Raw genomic sequence first — 16865 nt, forward strand, 5'->3', positions numbered from 1 at the left:
TGAGATATATATATGATATATATGAGATATATATATGATATATATGAGATATATATATGATATATATGAGATATATGAGATATATATGAGATATATGAGATATATATATGAGATATATATGAGATATATATGAGATATATATGATATATATGAGATATATATGATATATATATGAGATATATATGATATATATGATATATATATCATATATGAGATATATATATGAGATATATATGATATATATGAGATATATATATGAGATATATATCATATATATGAGATATATACATGATATATATGAGATATATACATGAGATATATATGAGATATATATGATATATATGAGATATATATGACATATATATGATATATATGAGATATATATGACATATATATGATATATATGAGATATATATATCATATATATGAGATATATGATATATATATGATATATATGAGATATATATATGATATATATATGATATATATATGAGATATATATATGATATATATATGAGATATATATGAGATATATATGATATATATATGAGATATATATATGATATATATATGAGATATATATATGATATATATATGAGATATATATATGAGATATATGAGATATATATATGAGATATATATGAGATATATATATGAGATATATATGAGATATATATGAGATATAGATGAGATATATGATATAGATGAGATATATATGATATAGATGAGATATATATGATGTATATATGAGATATATATATGATGTATATATATGATATGTATGAGATATATATATGATATATATGAGATATATATGAGATATATATATATATGAGATATATGTTTTTCTACCTGCCCCTGCTGGAGGCTTGGAGTACTTCTGTGGTGTCTGATACACAGAGAGACACTCTGCCTGTCACACAGATATTGAGGAATATCTTAGTAAAGGCATAGGTTTTTGTTGTTTTGATTGGAGTTCCTAAGAAATGATAAATCAGAGACTCCTGTCCTGTTACCAAAGTTCTAACACACCCTCTCTGATCCATAAACTTAGATCTCCCCACAACTGTGTCTTTAAATAGTCAGGCTTGCCCCTATTGTTTGTTACTATTTCTAAGAAATTATTATGTAAGTAAAGTGTTTGCTTTCAGAGGAAATAAGATGAGGTAGGAGGTTGACTTCATGGCATTTCCTGCATTCTTTGATACACATTCAGATCAATTCCCTTAGCACTATCGCCCATCTGTTCAGATACATGTAGGTATCGGGGCACTGGATGAGAAATCTTTATCTTCTGTTAGTAATCAGAAAAAACACTTAACCCTTTTGTGAAATGAAAGAGAATATAGTACTCGCTAGGAAATCTTTCGAACTTTAAGATATGGTTGCAATCACAGCTTTGCTTCTCCTTTTTTTTTTTTTTTTTTTTTGAGACGGAGTCTTGCTCTGTCTTACCCAGGCTGGAGTGCAGTGTCGCAATCTCTGCTCACTGCAGCCTCCACCTCCCGAGTTCAAGCAATTCTCCTGTCTCAGCTTCCCGAGTAGCTGGGACTACAGGCGTGTGCCACCACACTCGGTTAATTTTTGTATTTTTAGTAGAGACAGGTTTCACCACGTTGGCCAGGCTGGTCTCGAACTCTTCACCTCAGGTGATCCACCCACCTTGGCCTCCCAACGTGCTGCGGTTACAGGTGTGAGCCACCGTGCACAGCCAACTTTGCTTCCTTTACAATAAAACTGTACGTAGCATAATTTTGAAAAGCAATTTCTGATGATGGTATTAAGTCACAAGCCATTAAGACGGTCAATATAAGTTTACATATTTGGAAAAACTTCCAGTTCTGAACAGATGTTACTTAAGTCCTCCTAAAACGTCACTTCTGAAGCCAGTCACACATTTTGAGAACCTACCACTTGCAGAGCCCTGTGCAGGGCAGCTAAGTTGCCACAGTCGGGTTCCTCACCTGAACCGCTCCCAGATTATCAAGACACCCATAGCATGGAGCATTAAAACTGAACTCAGAAAAGGTTGTCTTGGGAAAAGAATAGGAAAGAAAAGGAGAGGAGAGAACAGGAGAGGAGGTCAGAATAGGAGAGAAGAGGGGAGAAGAAAACTGAGTACATTAAGCATCTATCTTAGCTCAGGCTGCTACAACAAAATGTCACACACTGGGTGGCTTAGAAACAGCAGAAGTTAGTCTCACGGTTCTGGAGACTGAGAAGTCCAAGGCACCAGCAGAGTTGGTGTCTGGTGAGGGCCTGAGTTCTGGTTTATAGGTGATGCCTTCTCACTGTGTCCTCACGAGGTGGAAGGGTGAACAAGCTCCCTTGGGCCTATTTGATAAGGGCACTTTTCTCATTCATGAGGGCTCTGCCCTCATGACCTAATTACTTCCCCAAAGCCCCACCTCCTAATACTGTCCCTTTGCAGTTAAGATTTCAGCATATGAATTTGGAGGGAACACAAACATTCAGACCATAGCAGCATTTTTTCATATTCACTTCTTCTTCTTCCACATTTTTCCCAACATAAAATTTCTCTTCTCCTTAAATAGCTCCAAATCTGCTATTTTGCTACCTCCTAGAATTTTCTCGGTATTTATAAGTCAATTTGTCTCTGGATCTGAAAGTGAGACTACCTCTAGCTAATATGAACTGGCTAGTGAGGTACTACAAATAGTAAGAGACCTTTAGTCTAAACTCCATCCTGTCACTTCATACTGTGTGGTCTTGGCTAAGTCACTCAGTTACACTAAACCTCAGCTTATTCACCAAAACAATGAAGATAATCCTATCTTCCCTTCCTTAGGGAGTTTCTGTGAGGAGCAAATGAAAAGATAAAACTGCAAATGCATTGTAGACCATCAAGAACAGTTGATTGTAAGATGTCATTATTCTTGGCTGGCCACAGTGGCTCATGCCTGTAATCCCAGCACTTTGGGAGACCGAGATGGGTGGATCATTTGAGGTCAGGAGTTCAAGACCAGTCTGGGCAACATGGCAAAACCAAGTGTCTACTGAAAATACAAAACTTAGCTGGGTGTGGTGTAATCACCTGTAATGCCAGCTACTTGGGAGGCTGAGACACAAGAATCGCTTGAACCCAGGAGGCAGAGGTTGCAGTGAGCCAAGATCGAGCCACTGCACTCCAGCCTGGGCAATAGAGCGAGACCCCATCTCAAAAAAAAAAAAAAAAAAGATGTCATTATGTCATTATTCTTGAGTTGCGTACGATAGCATAAAACAAAAACAAAGGTGCCATTATTCACCTTAATTTTTGTAGCTTTGTACTAAGTACAAAAATTAAGCCTCCTTTGGGTTGTTAGATTCTGGATTCTTTTTCTGATGAACTCCTGAGATGAATAAGATGGCAGCCAGGGAACTCCTATTGTGTTTGACTTTATCCTGCCCCAGTAGGGAAGACCTGGCTTTTTGGCAGGCACATTCTCTTTCTATAGTCCTCTTGTACCTGAGGCCTTGCCTCCTCCTGCCTGCTAAGATCCTCTCAACGTCAGTTATCAATCAATAGTTGTTAGCACCTGGTCTCCACTTTCCACCAAAACTTCGGTCAAGAGGTGCTGCCAAGAGTCCAGCTGACTCCTTCCTGAGAAAACGCGGCATTTGTTTTTCGTCAACAGCACATGTATAAAGATGTAGCCTATATGGAGCAGATGAACAAAGCAACCGATTTCAATACAATGTTAGATTCTGCCAAAGCTATAGCTTCATTGCTAGACAATCACCCATTTCTCCAAATAGGCAATTACTGTTCCTGGTATTCAATTACATTTGACATGAGTCTTTAGAAAACACTGTCACCCAATTCCAGATCCCAGTTGCCAGGTGGATCGTGTGCCTGGCTTTGAAGCTCTCTCACCCTGCTGCCTTTGCATCATTCTAGTGTTCTCTTGAGTGCCATTGTGACCGCCCAGAAATGCAGGGACTGGGAGTTGCGGAGACACCCCAACTGTGAGGTTAGACTCTGCTGCCTTAAAAGTAATCTTGTGAGGGAGCAGATACGTATGCAGAGGCTGGACACTCACATCAGGAGAGGAGTCGTGTGCCCAGAAAGGGTTGGACTGGACCCCACTATGGCTTTTCTGATCCCATCTGATTTCCCTCTAATAAGCCCCCCAAATCTTGCTTCTCTACTCCTTAAGCTAGGCTGGAACTGGCTCAATTTCTTTTTTGTTGTTGTTATTTACTTTTTAAAAAGTGTGGTAAAATAAAGATAGTATAAAATTTGCCATTTTAACCATTAAAAAAAATTTTTTTTTGAGACAGAGTTTCGCTCTTGTCACCCCGGCTGGAGTGCAGTGGTGTGATCTCAGCCCACTGCAACCTCCACCTCCCAGGTTCAAGCTATTCTCTCCTGCCTCAGCCTCCCACGTAGCTGGGACTACAGGCACCTGCCATCATGCTGGCTAATTTTTTGTATTTTTAGTAAAGATGGGGTTTCACCATGTTGGCCAAGCTGGTCTCGAACTCCTGACTTCAGGTGATCCACCCGCCTCAGCCTCCCAAAGTGCTGGGATTATAGACATGAGCCACTCCACCCGGCCGATTTTAACCATTTTTGAATGCATGACTCAGTGGCATTAATTACATTCACAATGTTGTGAAATTGTCACCACTATCTGTTTCCAAAAATTTTCATCACCTCATTCAGCAGTAACTCCCCATTCCCTCCTCCCCACCACCCCCGGTAATCTCTATTCTACTTTCTGTCTCTATGAATTTGCCTATTCCAGGTTATTTCATTTAAGTAGAATAGTACAATATTTGTTCGTTTGTGCCTGGCTTGTTTCACGTGGTGTGTTTTCAAGGTTCACGTATTTTGTAGCACGTGTCACAACTTCATTACTTTTTATGGCTAAATAATATTCCATGGTATATATACCACATTTTGTTTATCCGTTTATCTATTAATTTGACTTTATTTTGACATCTATACAGTATTCCCCACTTATCCGTGGTACATTCCATGACCCCCAGTGGATGCCTAAACCTTGAATAGTACGGAGCCTGACTGCTGTCCATCAGAACACGTTTCTTTTCATATCTTCCACCCACAAATGTAATGTCTCTTCTATCTTAACTAAGCTCTGTCTTTACTTTTTATTTTATTTTTTTATTTTTTGGAGCAACCCTATTAACTGATTAGCCTCTTATCAATACTGTGGACAGCAGGAGAGCAACGCTGGTTCTGTTCCAGGGTATCTCAGGCCTTGTAGTGAAACGATGGGAAATGCCCCTCCACTCCTAGGAAGGTGGCTTTGTCACAGGTCAGGCTCATGCAGGACTCCTCCCACCCTTAGCCTTCTCTCTCAGAGCTTCCTCGATAGCTGTGCAAATTGGCTGTGGGCTTGCCCATCCTCCCTTTCTTCATATGTGCCCAGACATGGCTGAATTGCAGATTAAGCTCAAATTGGAACTCCTTTTCCATGAGATTCTAAGTATATAAAATGGAACTCGAAATCAACAAGTGCCAGGAATAGGATACCTTCGGGGGAAACACATTATTCATCAGTACCTGGTGTTTTCCCATACGTCCTTTTTTCTGTTCACAGGAGGGAACTTCTTTTCTGGAAATCTACTTTCTTACAGATTTCAATCTTCAGAAAGTTCTCCTTGAGTTTCCCGTAATTATAAGCTAGATGTCAGGAGATTTATTTCCTCTAGAATTAAAACAAATCTCATCTGTGATATAAAATTCCTCACCACCAGAGGGAGGTACTCCTTTTCTCGTCCCTTCTTGGAGTATTTTAGTAGGATACAGTGACAGTTTTGCACAAAAGAGGATACTTCAAGACACAAATCTGACCCTCTTATTCTTTTTTGGTCTAACTACTTTCACTTGTCATTCTTTCGCCTCCTAAGGCTCAAATACTCCTCCTGCTCCATGACTTTGATCTGATGATTGAGAGAATAGCATTAGCAGGGGCTCAACCAAACTTTCGTTTACAGCTTAGATGCTGTCAAAGGCCCCTATCAAACAATGCAGTAGTGTATTCTGATGAGATTGGGCACGTTCAGGGTGGTATGGCCATAGACTGCAGTACTGTATTCTGGATCTTGGCTTTCTAATGGCATTGTTGGATAGATTTGCTGCCTGAAAGTCAACCAACCAACAGAAACTTCTCTCCAGTGTTCAACCTATATGTGGGAAAATCTAGCATATTATAGAATGATCATTTTTTGCATGATTAAAATATAATTTCCTCTATAAAAATAGATGAGAAACAGCTAATTTGGGGAAAACCTTCTATAAATCCACAATTACTTAAGAATAACTACTTACTTGATCCAGAAAGATACTCTTTCTATTATTGTTGTACACTTAATGAGAGCTACTGTCTTTTATTTTATTTTATTTTTTTAATTTTTTTTCTGAGATGGAGTTTCGCTCTTGTTGCCCAGGCTGGAGTGCAATGGCATGATCTTGGCTCGCTGCAAGCTCTGCCTCCCGGGTTCAAGCGGTTCTCCTGCCTCAGCCTGCCGAATAGCTGGCATTGCAGGGGCAGGCCACCACACCCAGCTAATTTTTGTATTTTTAGTAGAGACAGGGTTTCACCATGTTGGCCAGGCTGGTCTTGAACTCCTGGGCTCAAGCAATCCTCTCACCTCAGCCTCCCAAAGTGCTGGAATTCCAGGCATGAGCCACCACACCCACAATAGCAATTAGGGATTGCTATTATTTTTTTTAATTTTAAAAATATATATAGGCAAGGATGTAGAGAAACTGGAACCCTTATACACTGTTGGTGAGAATGCAAAATGGTGCAGCTAACATGGAAAACAATAGGGAGACTCCCACCAAATTCAAAATGGAGCTACCTGACGATCTGGAGAGATACTTTTTAACATGAATCTAAAGGTAGTAGAATAATTTCAGGAGAAGATTATATAGATACATTTAGTTACAAATCTAGCCTTCACTGGAAATTATGTCTCACTGGCTTCTGGAGATGGAAGATAGTCTATACATAATATGAGGAAACTTATTTTCACTGTTTGTTTCTCTCTGTGGCCTATTGCCTGTAGGCCATATTCCAGTAGTGGTTTTTTTCTACCCCCTAAAATTTAGGTAAAATTAGCTTGAAATTTCATGCCCTGTGGAAAGCTCAATGTCCTTTCTAATACTTCTGTACATTTCTGGGAGAGTGATAATTTCATGGCTGCTCTGCCTCTGCCTTCCTAAAATTCTTGGTCCCCACCCCTGCTGCCTTGTGGTTGTGCCTTTATCTTTGTCCTATATTGACCAAACATTCAATTCAGCACCTTTCTTTAAAAAACAAAACAGGGCCGGGTGCGGTGGCTCATGCCTGTAATCCCAGCACTTTGGGAGGCCAAACTGGGTGGATCATTTGAGGTCAGGAGTTCAAGACCAGCCTGGACAACAAGGTGAAATCCCGCCTCTACTAAAAATACAAAAATTAGCCGGGTGTGGTGGCACGTTCCTGTAATCCCAGCTACTCAGGAGGCTGAGGCAGGAGGATCACTTGAACCCGGGAGACAGAGGCTGCAGTGAGCCGATATCACGCCACTGCACTCCAGCCTGGGTGACAGAGCGAGACTCCGTCTCAAAAATAATAATAAATAAATAAACAAATTTTTTTTAAAGCAGTCATTCAAAGCCTAGGTGAATGTCAGAGACCTCACTGAAAGTTTAGAAAATTTAAAGAAGTTTACATTTTGAACAACTTCAACCATGTATTAGACATCCATCCCTGCTCTAAAAATTTTGTCAAACTACTAGATTGCTTGGCCATACTCTCTCTTTCCTCCTCCTCCTTCTCTCCTTTCTGTTATTTCCCTCAACTCCAAATTCCCGTATAGCTTCTTATATTTCTATTCTAATTTCCTGCTGTTCATGCCTGTAGGGTCTTCTACTCTAGGTATTTTCTCAAGATACTTTCCCAAACAAAGCCTAGGAGGAATTCTGGGCCCAAAAAGATGTTCGTAATCTCACATGCACACATACGTTTCCATGTGGTTATCAGAGCTGTTTTTTTCTGGCCAGGCGATCTCAGCCACCATCTTGCCTTAAAGTGAACTCTTTTATTCCAAAAGTGATGGCCAGCATGCCGGCTGTGATGTTCCTCATAGCCAGTGCTGGAGGAAAACTCGGAAAAACACAGCATCATATATTGGAGTAGAAATATAGAAGTGGGCTGGGGCGTGGAGATATAGTAGCAGGAGATATTTTGCTATTAATCAAATCATATTTATTGAACATCTATTCTGAAAAAGGCTCTTCAGTAGAAGCATGCAGGGAAAAAAAATCTTGTACGTGACTTTATGGATATATCAGGGATTGAAACTCCTGGAATTTATCAAAATCTAATTTGTCCTTACCCAGGCTGAATGGAGAGAAGAAGTGAAAAAACATTTTGAGAAGATCAAAAGTGAAGGAACTTGTATACACCGGTTAGATGAAGAACTGATTCGAAGGCGCAGAGAAGAGCTCAGGTCAGCTCATCCCTCCTTCCCCACCTCCCTTCATCCCCAGGTCTTCAGATGTTAACAGGCACCCTTATCATAACCACCATTTCACTTTCCACACACCTTTCACCTCTGCTTTTTATTGTTATGCTCTTTAAAAGTTGCCCCAAAAGTTAGCCTTCCTTTGTATCTCTTTCCTATCCTTTCTTCCCAACTCCATTATCCTCTTTTATTAGGTCTCTGCAACAAAGATTCTTGAAACAATGCTATTTAATCATTCAGCCAGTGTCCTAGGTGCCATGCAATTCCAGAAATTTATAAGATTTAGTCCCTGGCTTCAAGATGCTTATAATCTATTAAGAGATATAAGGCCAGGTGCAGTGGCTCACACCTGTAATCCCAGCACTTTGGGAGGCCAAGGCAGGCGGGTCACTTGAGCCCAGGAGTTTGAGACCAGCCCGCCCAGCATGGCAAAACCCCATCTCTACTAAAAATACAAAAAATTAGCTGGGTGTGGTGGCGCACGATGCCTGTGATCCCAGCTATGCAGGAGACAGAGGCATGAGAATCACGTGAACCCAGGAGATGGAGGCTACAGTGAGCCCAGATTGTGCCACTGCACCCCAGCCTGGGTGACAGAGTGAGATTCTGTCTCAAAAAAAGAGAGAGAGATAAGACATGTTCACGAATAATCACTGATATGGTTTGGCTCTGTGTCTCCACCCAAATCTCACCTCATATTGTAACCCCCATAATCCCCATGTGTCAAGAACCAGGTGGAGGTAACTGGATCTTGGGGGCGGCTTCCCCCATGCTGTTTTTGTGATAATGGGTGAGTTCTCAGGAGATCTGATGGTTTTATAAACATCTGGCATTTCCCCTGCTTGCACTCAATCCATCCTGCCGCCCTGTGAAGAAGGTGCCTGCTTCTCCTTTGCCTTCTGCCATGATTGTAAATTTCCTGAGGCCTTCCCAGCCATGCAAAACTGTGAGTTAATTAAACCTCTTTCCTTTATAAATTACCCAGTGTCCAGTATTTCTTCTAGCAGTGTGAGAACAGACTAAGACAATCACAGCTGAGTCAGTTCTGAATGCTATAACGAACTTTAGACTGGATAATATATAAACAACAGAAATGTATTGGTCACAGTTCTGGAGCTGAGAAGTCCATAATCAAGGTGCCAGCAGATTCAGTGTCTGGTGAGGGCCCATTCTTCATAGATGGCACCTTCTATGTGTCCTCACACCGAAGAAGGGCAAAAGGGCTCCCTCAAGTCTTTTTTATAAGGGGACTCATCTCATTGACAAGGGCAGAGCTCTCATGACCTAATCACCTCCTAAAGACCCCACCTATTTATTTATTTATTTTGAGATAGTCTCTCTCTGTCGCTTAGGCTGGAGTGCAGTGGCACCATCTCAGCTCACTGCAACCTCCACCTCCCAGGTTTAAGCGATTCTTCTGCCTCAGCCTCCTGAGTAGCTGTTGCAGGTGTGCTAACCATGCCGGGCTAATTTTTGTATTTTTAGTAGAGACAGGGTTTCACCATATTGCACAGGCTGGTCTTGAACTCCTGACCTCGTGATCCACCTGCCTCAGCCTCCCAAAATGCTGGGATTACAGGCATGAGCCACTGCATCTGGCCAACCCCACCTCTTAACATTATCATCTTGGGTGTTAGGTTTCAACATATAAATCTGGGGGGCACAAACATTCAGACCATACCAACCACTATATCACACAGGGTCTGGGCCGTGGCTAAGTGTAAATGAGTGATCATGGTGTTGGCTTTAACTGCATATTTCCATTAACATATGAGTCTATTCTACTGTATTCTTATTAAGATAGTGACAAATTATAGACAGATTTTTATCTGTGGCCCTCTTGGCTATTCTATATGGCTCATGGGCTCTTTAGGATAAACCAGGTGGAGAGCTTAGATTTCCCACCTCCCGTTCCATTTTGTCTGAGTTACTGCACTGGACAAGGGAGGCTTAAAGTAAGAGGGCCTTGGGCAAATGCTTTTGTGATCAATCATCCTGTTTCTTATTTCATCAAGCGGACTTTTTTCTCCCGAAGTTGGTTGGCTGGGCTGACCCTGTGTTTTCTCTGACAGGCATGCGCTGGATATTCGTGAACACTATGAGCGGAAGCTTGAGCGGGCGAATAATTTATACATGGAATTGAGTGCCATCATGCTGCAGCTAGAAATGCGGGAGAAGGAGCTCATTAAGTATGTATCCAGACTAGTGTCTGTTCTTACTGATTTGAGTCTGTCAATCAGCAGAAACATACTACCCTTCCATGTTGCTGCTACTCAGAACTGGCAGATATTTTATTCATTCACCCAACATTCCTTCCGGGATGTGCTATGCACAGGTCCCTGCCCCTGGCGAGGTATACAAATAAGTGGAGTTGCCACAGAGCAAGTTATAGGAGAACATGCACTTGGCAGTCATTTGCTGCATAGGGAAGGGGTCCCCATTTCAAGAAGAGCACGGGGTGAAGACCGGGGAGCCGATTGCCCCCTGGGGAAATGTATTGGCTGCTGAAAGTGGTGTAAGGTACTCCTGATGGTGGCAAGAAAACCCTGGGAATCCTGACCAAATAAGCAGCTACTGAAAACAAGCAGGACTTCTGTCATTGTATTATGTTGGGGAAATGAAAGTGAGTATTAGTGTCTCAGTGCATGAGCTGAAGAGCAGAATGAAGTCAGGTTAATTTGAATTTAGTATTTCCTTTTTTTTTTTTTTTTTTTTTTTGTGAGATGGAGTCTTGCTCTGTCACCCAGGCTGGAGTGCAGTGACATGATCTCAGCTCACTGCAACCTCCGCCTCCCGGATTCAAGTGATTCTCCTGCCTCAGCCTCCTGAGTAGCTGAGACTACAGGTGCATGCCACCATGCCCAGCTAATTTTTGTATTTTTAGTAGAAATGGGATTTCACTATGTTGCCCAGGCTGGTCTCGAACTCCCAACCTCAGGTGATCCACCCACCTTGGCCTCCCAAAGTGCTGGGATTACATGCCTGAGCCACCGAGCCCGGCTGTTTGTTTGTTTTTTAAACCTGAATAGCAGTCTTGTTATTCAAATAGCTAAATGTGGCAGAATCTGTGGTAGAATTAGCCGGTGAAAATATTCTGCCTATCCTTTCTGTCTGCAATGACTGAGGTGTGGCTTTTGCCTTTATTCTGCAGGCGTGAGCAAGCAGTGGAAAAGAAGTATCCTGGGACCTACAAACGACACCCTGTTCGTCCTATCATCCATCCCAATGCCATGGAGAAACTCATGAAAAGGAAAGGAGTGCCTCACAAATCTGGGATGCAGACCAAACGGTGAGACACCTGTACAAACGCAGTATTCAGATAAATAGGGAAAGACCCACCCACAAATCCATTCTCACATGATGGCGGATGTGGCCTCTTCTTTAGCTCATCAGATGACTGTAGAGATACTCAGTACTCTAGGTAAAACAGAGTAAGAAGGTGAGGGAGTATCACAAACTTTAGGAATCTAGCTTTTACATCTGTGGCATAAATATTTATTGTCTTAGCATGGAAAGAGAAATAAACTGGGGGCCAGACAGACCTGGATGCAAATCCTGGACCTGCCTTATAAGCTGTGTGAGTTGACCTCTGTCAACCCCAGTGTCCTCATGGATAAAATGGTACAATTACAGCACATGAGATTTCTTTTTATTTTTCTGACCTCTAGGACACAGAATTGGGTTAGTCATAATTCTTGATTTACAACACAATAGACCATGCATGGCTTACTTTTATTCACACATTTAGTTCGTTCTTTTTAATAATGTGGAAAGTACCTGCAAACTCACTGTATTAGTCCCTTCTTGCATTGCCATAAAGAAATACCTGACTGGGTGCGGTGGCTCACGCCTGTAATCCCAGCACTTTGGGAGGCCGAGGTGGGTGGATCATGAGGTCAGGAGATCAAGACCATCCTGGCCAACATGGTGAAACCCCATCTCTACTAAAAATACAAAAATTATCTGGGCGTGGTGGCACGTGCCTGTAATCCCAGCTACTCGGGAGGCTGAGACAGGAGAATCACTTGAACCAGGGAGTCGGAGGTTGCAGTGAGCTGAGATCATGCCACTGCACCCCAGTCTGGTGACAGAGCGAGACTCTGTCTCAAAAAAAAAAAAAAAAAAGAAATACCTGAGACTGGGTAATTTATAAAGATAAAAGGTTTAATTGGCTCATGGTTCTGCAGGCTACACAGGAAGCATGACAGCTTCTGCTCAGCTTCTCGGGAGGCCTCAGGAAACTTATAATCATGGTGAAAAACAAAGGGGGAGCCAGCGCTTCACATGGCTGGAATAGGAGGAAGAGAGAGCAAAGCAGGAGGTGCTACATTCCTTTAAATAACCAAATCTCATGAAAACTCACTCACTCACTATCATGAGAACAGCACCGAGGAGATGATGCGAAACCATTCATGAGAAACTGCCCCCATGATCCAATCACCCCCTCACCAGGCCCCACCTCCAACAGTAGGGATTACAATCCGACATGAGATTTGGGTGGGGACGTAGACTCAAACCGTATCACTCATCATGGAAACAAAAGCAGGGCCTTTGATAATTACCTATATCTAACCATATGGGTTCCCCTCATTGTACCCTAGCATGGGAGTTTTGTGAAGTTTAAATATGATAACATGTATAACATGTGAAATCATCTATCAAATCATAGGTGCTCGAAAAATGTATTTTGGGATAGTTTAAAAAAAGATTGCCCTTTCCCCTTTTTACTACATATTTGCCTTGTATTAGTTTAATCTTGGAATTCTCTTCCTCTCATTTTTCCTTACCAAACTCTGTAGAGACTCATTCCTCAATAACAGAGGGTTGGCTCTCTCCTAGCTAAGTTAATGTAAAGGGAAGGAAGGTCCCTAAACCTAGGGTATAGACCTAATAGTGAGATGTGAGTTAAATGCAGTAAGAATAGAGCTAATGAGAGAACACAAACCAAGAATGTATTATGACTCTATCAGAATGGCAGTCATTCTACCATAGCTGGACTAATAGGTACCTAACTTCTAACGAGTAACTACACGGACTAATTCCAATTTTGCTTTTACCTTCTGCCCCAACCATCTAATGGTCAAGTTCTGAGAAACTTTTTTCAGATTCCACCTGACACAATCCTTGGGGTTGGGGGAAATCCCAACACCCCTTTTCTTTTGTTGTACTAATTAGGGACAGAGTCTGCCCGATGGCTGCTCCCTGCCTTCTGCCTACAGTTAAAACTAAGAGCGCTGGGGGAGAAAATAGAACTATTTAGCTTTTTCAAATATGAGCTCATGTTTGCTTTTATTTTGGCTATGAGAAATGTTTGAAAGAGTTTGACAACACAAGTAGATGCTTAGTCAATGAGCTAGCTGAACACGAGGAAGGCAACCTGCAAAGAGCTGTACTGTCAGCTGATTGTCCCTTGAAGGACTTCCGTTTCAGATGATTTGGACAGTCCAATGATTACCTAGTGAGAAGTCTGGAGACCTTGAAGGAAATTAGAGAGGAGAAACCATTCAACCATCCTTAAGCCCAGGTTTCAGTTTATGTTTAGTTAGAGACTAAAAAGAGTGTCAAGTTCAGTCATGGACATTTCCAGCCTGTCATAAGTGAGTACAGTCCAAAAAGATAGTCTAAATACCCTGTAATAATGAGAGGCTTGAAATGGGGAAGAACTATGCCTTGGGGTCAACGGACTTGGGTTCAAGTTATGAGTTCTGCCACTTGCTGGCTTTGTGATGGATACAACCCAGCATAACCTCTGATCCTCAGTGCACTTCTCCATCAAATGGGTATTGTAATAGTAGGAACAAAGTGCTTTCTGCAGTACAAATTGGCCAGCTGACCACAGAATTTTGAATCTGGGACAGGAAGCTGCCAATAGCAGACAATACCCTACCCACCTTATCATAAACCCTTAATACCTGGAACTTCCATGCTAAGACAAGTCCTTAACTGTACTTTTCCTGTAAACGAAGAAAAACCCATCTCCTGCTGCCTGCTGCCTACTTATGAGCTGTGGCTGTTCAATGTGTGGCCTCACTTTAGCATCATCTGAGAGCTTGTTATACTTGCAGGCTCTTAGGCCCCACCCCAGACCTACTAAATCAAAGTCTTCGTGTTTAACAAGCTCCCCGGGTGATTTGTATGTGCCTTCAAGTTTGAACTCTGACCTTCAATAAACCAGATTGAAAATTAGGAGAGACTTTTTGTCTGGATTCTACCACTAATGAGCTATGAGAGCATCAGCCATTTTGGCTGGGCTGTGAGCTCTTTGTCACATATGGTGAAGACAGGACTGTACCTGTGGTTTCCAAGCAAAGCCTGGAACACCCAAGGGCTTGTACAGAGGTTTCTCAGAGGCTATTGCAGGGGTAGGAAGGACAAGGAGGGGGAACCTGGGAACTCTGCAGAGAAGGGCTGCTGCTCTCCACTTCAACCGGTTCCACTATACCTTTTTTATTTATTGCATTTCTCATAATAATTCGAGAGGATTCTGTTGTTAAAAACAAAAAAGTCTGGGCCCATCACCTGTAAAATTTCATGCTGACTTGTGTCTTTCTGGTCCAAAGAAGGGTAAGGCTACTTGCTGGTAGGAAGAAAGCAGTGGTTCTTCCTGGTAATCCTAGAGGCTCTGCCCTGAATCAGTTCATCAGTTTAGAAACCATTTATTGTTCACCTGCAGGCCTTGGAGTCAGTGTGGGCAAGGTGTAACTTCAGGCCTCTGATTTTCTTTTGCACGTAATCTTCACAACTGGCCCAGTGAAGACTTGAAAACAGGACTGTGAAAGAACTCCCTCCCTTTAGGATCAAAGTGAAATGCCAGTGTCACTCCGCACTAGCCCGTCTCTTCCTGCTTCTACTCAACCTCCTGCTGAGCTCTGTCTTTCCTCCTTCTCTGACCCCTCCCTTCCTTTTCCTTCCTTCAAGCTTCTCTGAGTACTCACTATAAACAAGAGTCCTTGCTTTCTAGGGTGAGGTGTAGGATATAATACAGAAGGAATAACAGAAATCCTCTGTAAGTGGACATGTAGGTTGTTTCCAGCTTTTTGCTATTTCAAAAAATACTGTAACATAACATCATCAAACATGTATTTTGATGCACATATGAGGGGACTTCAAAAAGTTCATGGAAAATGTAATTATAAAAGATAACAATTAAAAATATAAACTTTACTTCTCAACATAAGCTCCATCAAGGTTAAGATAGTTTTGTAAGTGATGATATCAGCCATTTAATTCATCCCTAAAGAACTGAGGGTCCTGGAAATGTATCCATGTCAATACCGTCTTTTTACATTATTAACTGAAGAAAAAATGGATGCCCTTTAAAGGTATTTTCAGATTAGGAAACAAAAAGAAATGAGAAGGAGCCAAATCGGGACTGTAAGGTGGATGCTTAATGATCTCCCATAGAAACTCTTGAAAAATTGCCCTTGTTTGATGAGATGAATGAGCAGGAGCATTGTTATGGTGGAGGAGGACTCTCTGGTGAAGGTTTCCTGGATTTTTTTCTGCTAATGTTTTGGCTAACTTTCTAAAACACTCCTATAATAAGCAGATATTGTCATTATTTGGCCCTCCAGAAAGTCAACAAGCAAAATGCTTTGAGCATCCCAAAAAAACTGTTGCCATGACCTTTGCTTTTTTTTTTTTTTTTTTTTGTAGAGATAGGGTCTTGCTATGTTGCTCAGACTGGTCTCAAACTCCTGGCCTCAAGCAATCCTCCTATCTTGGCCCCCAAAGTGCTGGGATTACAGGTGTGAGCCTGTACCTGGACGACCTTTACTTTTTTTTTTTTTTTTTTTTTTTTTGAGATGGAGTCTCACTCTTGTTACCCAGGCTGGAGTGCAGTGGCACGATCTCAGCTCACTGCAACTTCTGCCTCCTGGGTTCAAGTGATTCTCCTGCCTCAGCCCCCTGAGTAGCTGGGATTACAGGCGCCCACCACCACGCCTGGCTAATTTTTATATTTCTAGTAGAAATGGGGTTTCACCATGTTGGCCAGGCTAGTCTCGAACTCCTGACCTCAAGTGATCCACCTGCCTCGGCCTCCCAAAGTGCTGGGATTATAGGCGTGAGCCACCACGCCCGGCCGACCTTTACTCCTGACCAGTCTGTTTTGACTGGACCAGTTCCACCTCTTGGTAGCCATTGCTTTAATTGTGCTTTGTCTTCAGGATCATACTGGTAGAGCTGTGTTTCATCTCCTGTTACAATTTCACTTATGCAAAGAGATGTTTGAAGATCTTGATCCCAAGTGTTTAAAATTTCTATTGAAAGTTCTGCTCTTGTATGCAGCTGATCTGAATGCAACAGTTTTGGTTCCCATTGAGTGGAAAGTTTGTTCAACTTTAATTTTTCTATTAGAATTGTGTAAGCTGAGCCAA

The 16865-nt window shown here is 41.8% G+C and overlaps 1 protein-coding gene and 1 long non-coding RNA gene across 8 annotated transcripts in view; one reads left to right on the forward strand and one right to left on the reverse strand.

Annotated features, from left to right (window-relative positions):
- Positions 1-16865, forward strand: part of MAP3K13 (mitogen-activated protein kinase kinase kinase 13) — a 206134-nt gene that overhangs the window by 172227 nt on the left and 17042 nt on the right. For all 7 annotated transcript variants that reach the window (XM_047449193.1, XM_017007456.2, NM_001242317.2 and 4 more), the window contains 3 exons: positions 8363-8472; positions 10560-10676; positions 11639-11776. In XM_047449193.1, the coding sequence (XP_047305149.1) occupies positions 8363-8472; positions 10560-10676; positions 11639-11776 (365 nt within the window). The remainder of the gene's footprint in view (positions 1-8362; positions 8473-10559; positions 10677-11638; positions 11777-16865) is intronic.
- On the reverse strand, positions 1416-16116 carry LOC124906312 (uncharacterized). The gene is made up of 3 exons (XR_007096202.1): positions 11845-16116; positions 5534-5678; positions 1416-3658 (listed from the first exon to the last, which is right to left on the reverse strand). It is a non-coding gene; the product is annotated as an uncharacterized LOC124906312 (long non-coding RNA).

This window comes from Homo sapiens, chromosome 3 (assembly GCF_000001405.40).
Source record: "Homo sapiens chromosome 3, GRCh38.p14 Primary Assembly".
Taxonomy (NCBI): Eukaryota; Metazoa; Chordata; class Mammalia; order Primates; family Hominidae; genus Homo; species Homo sapiens.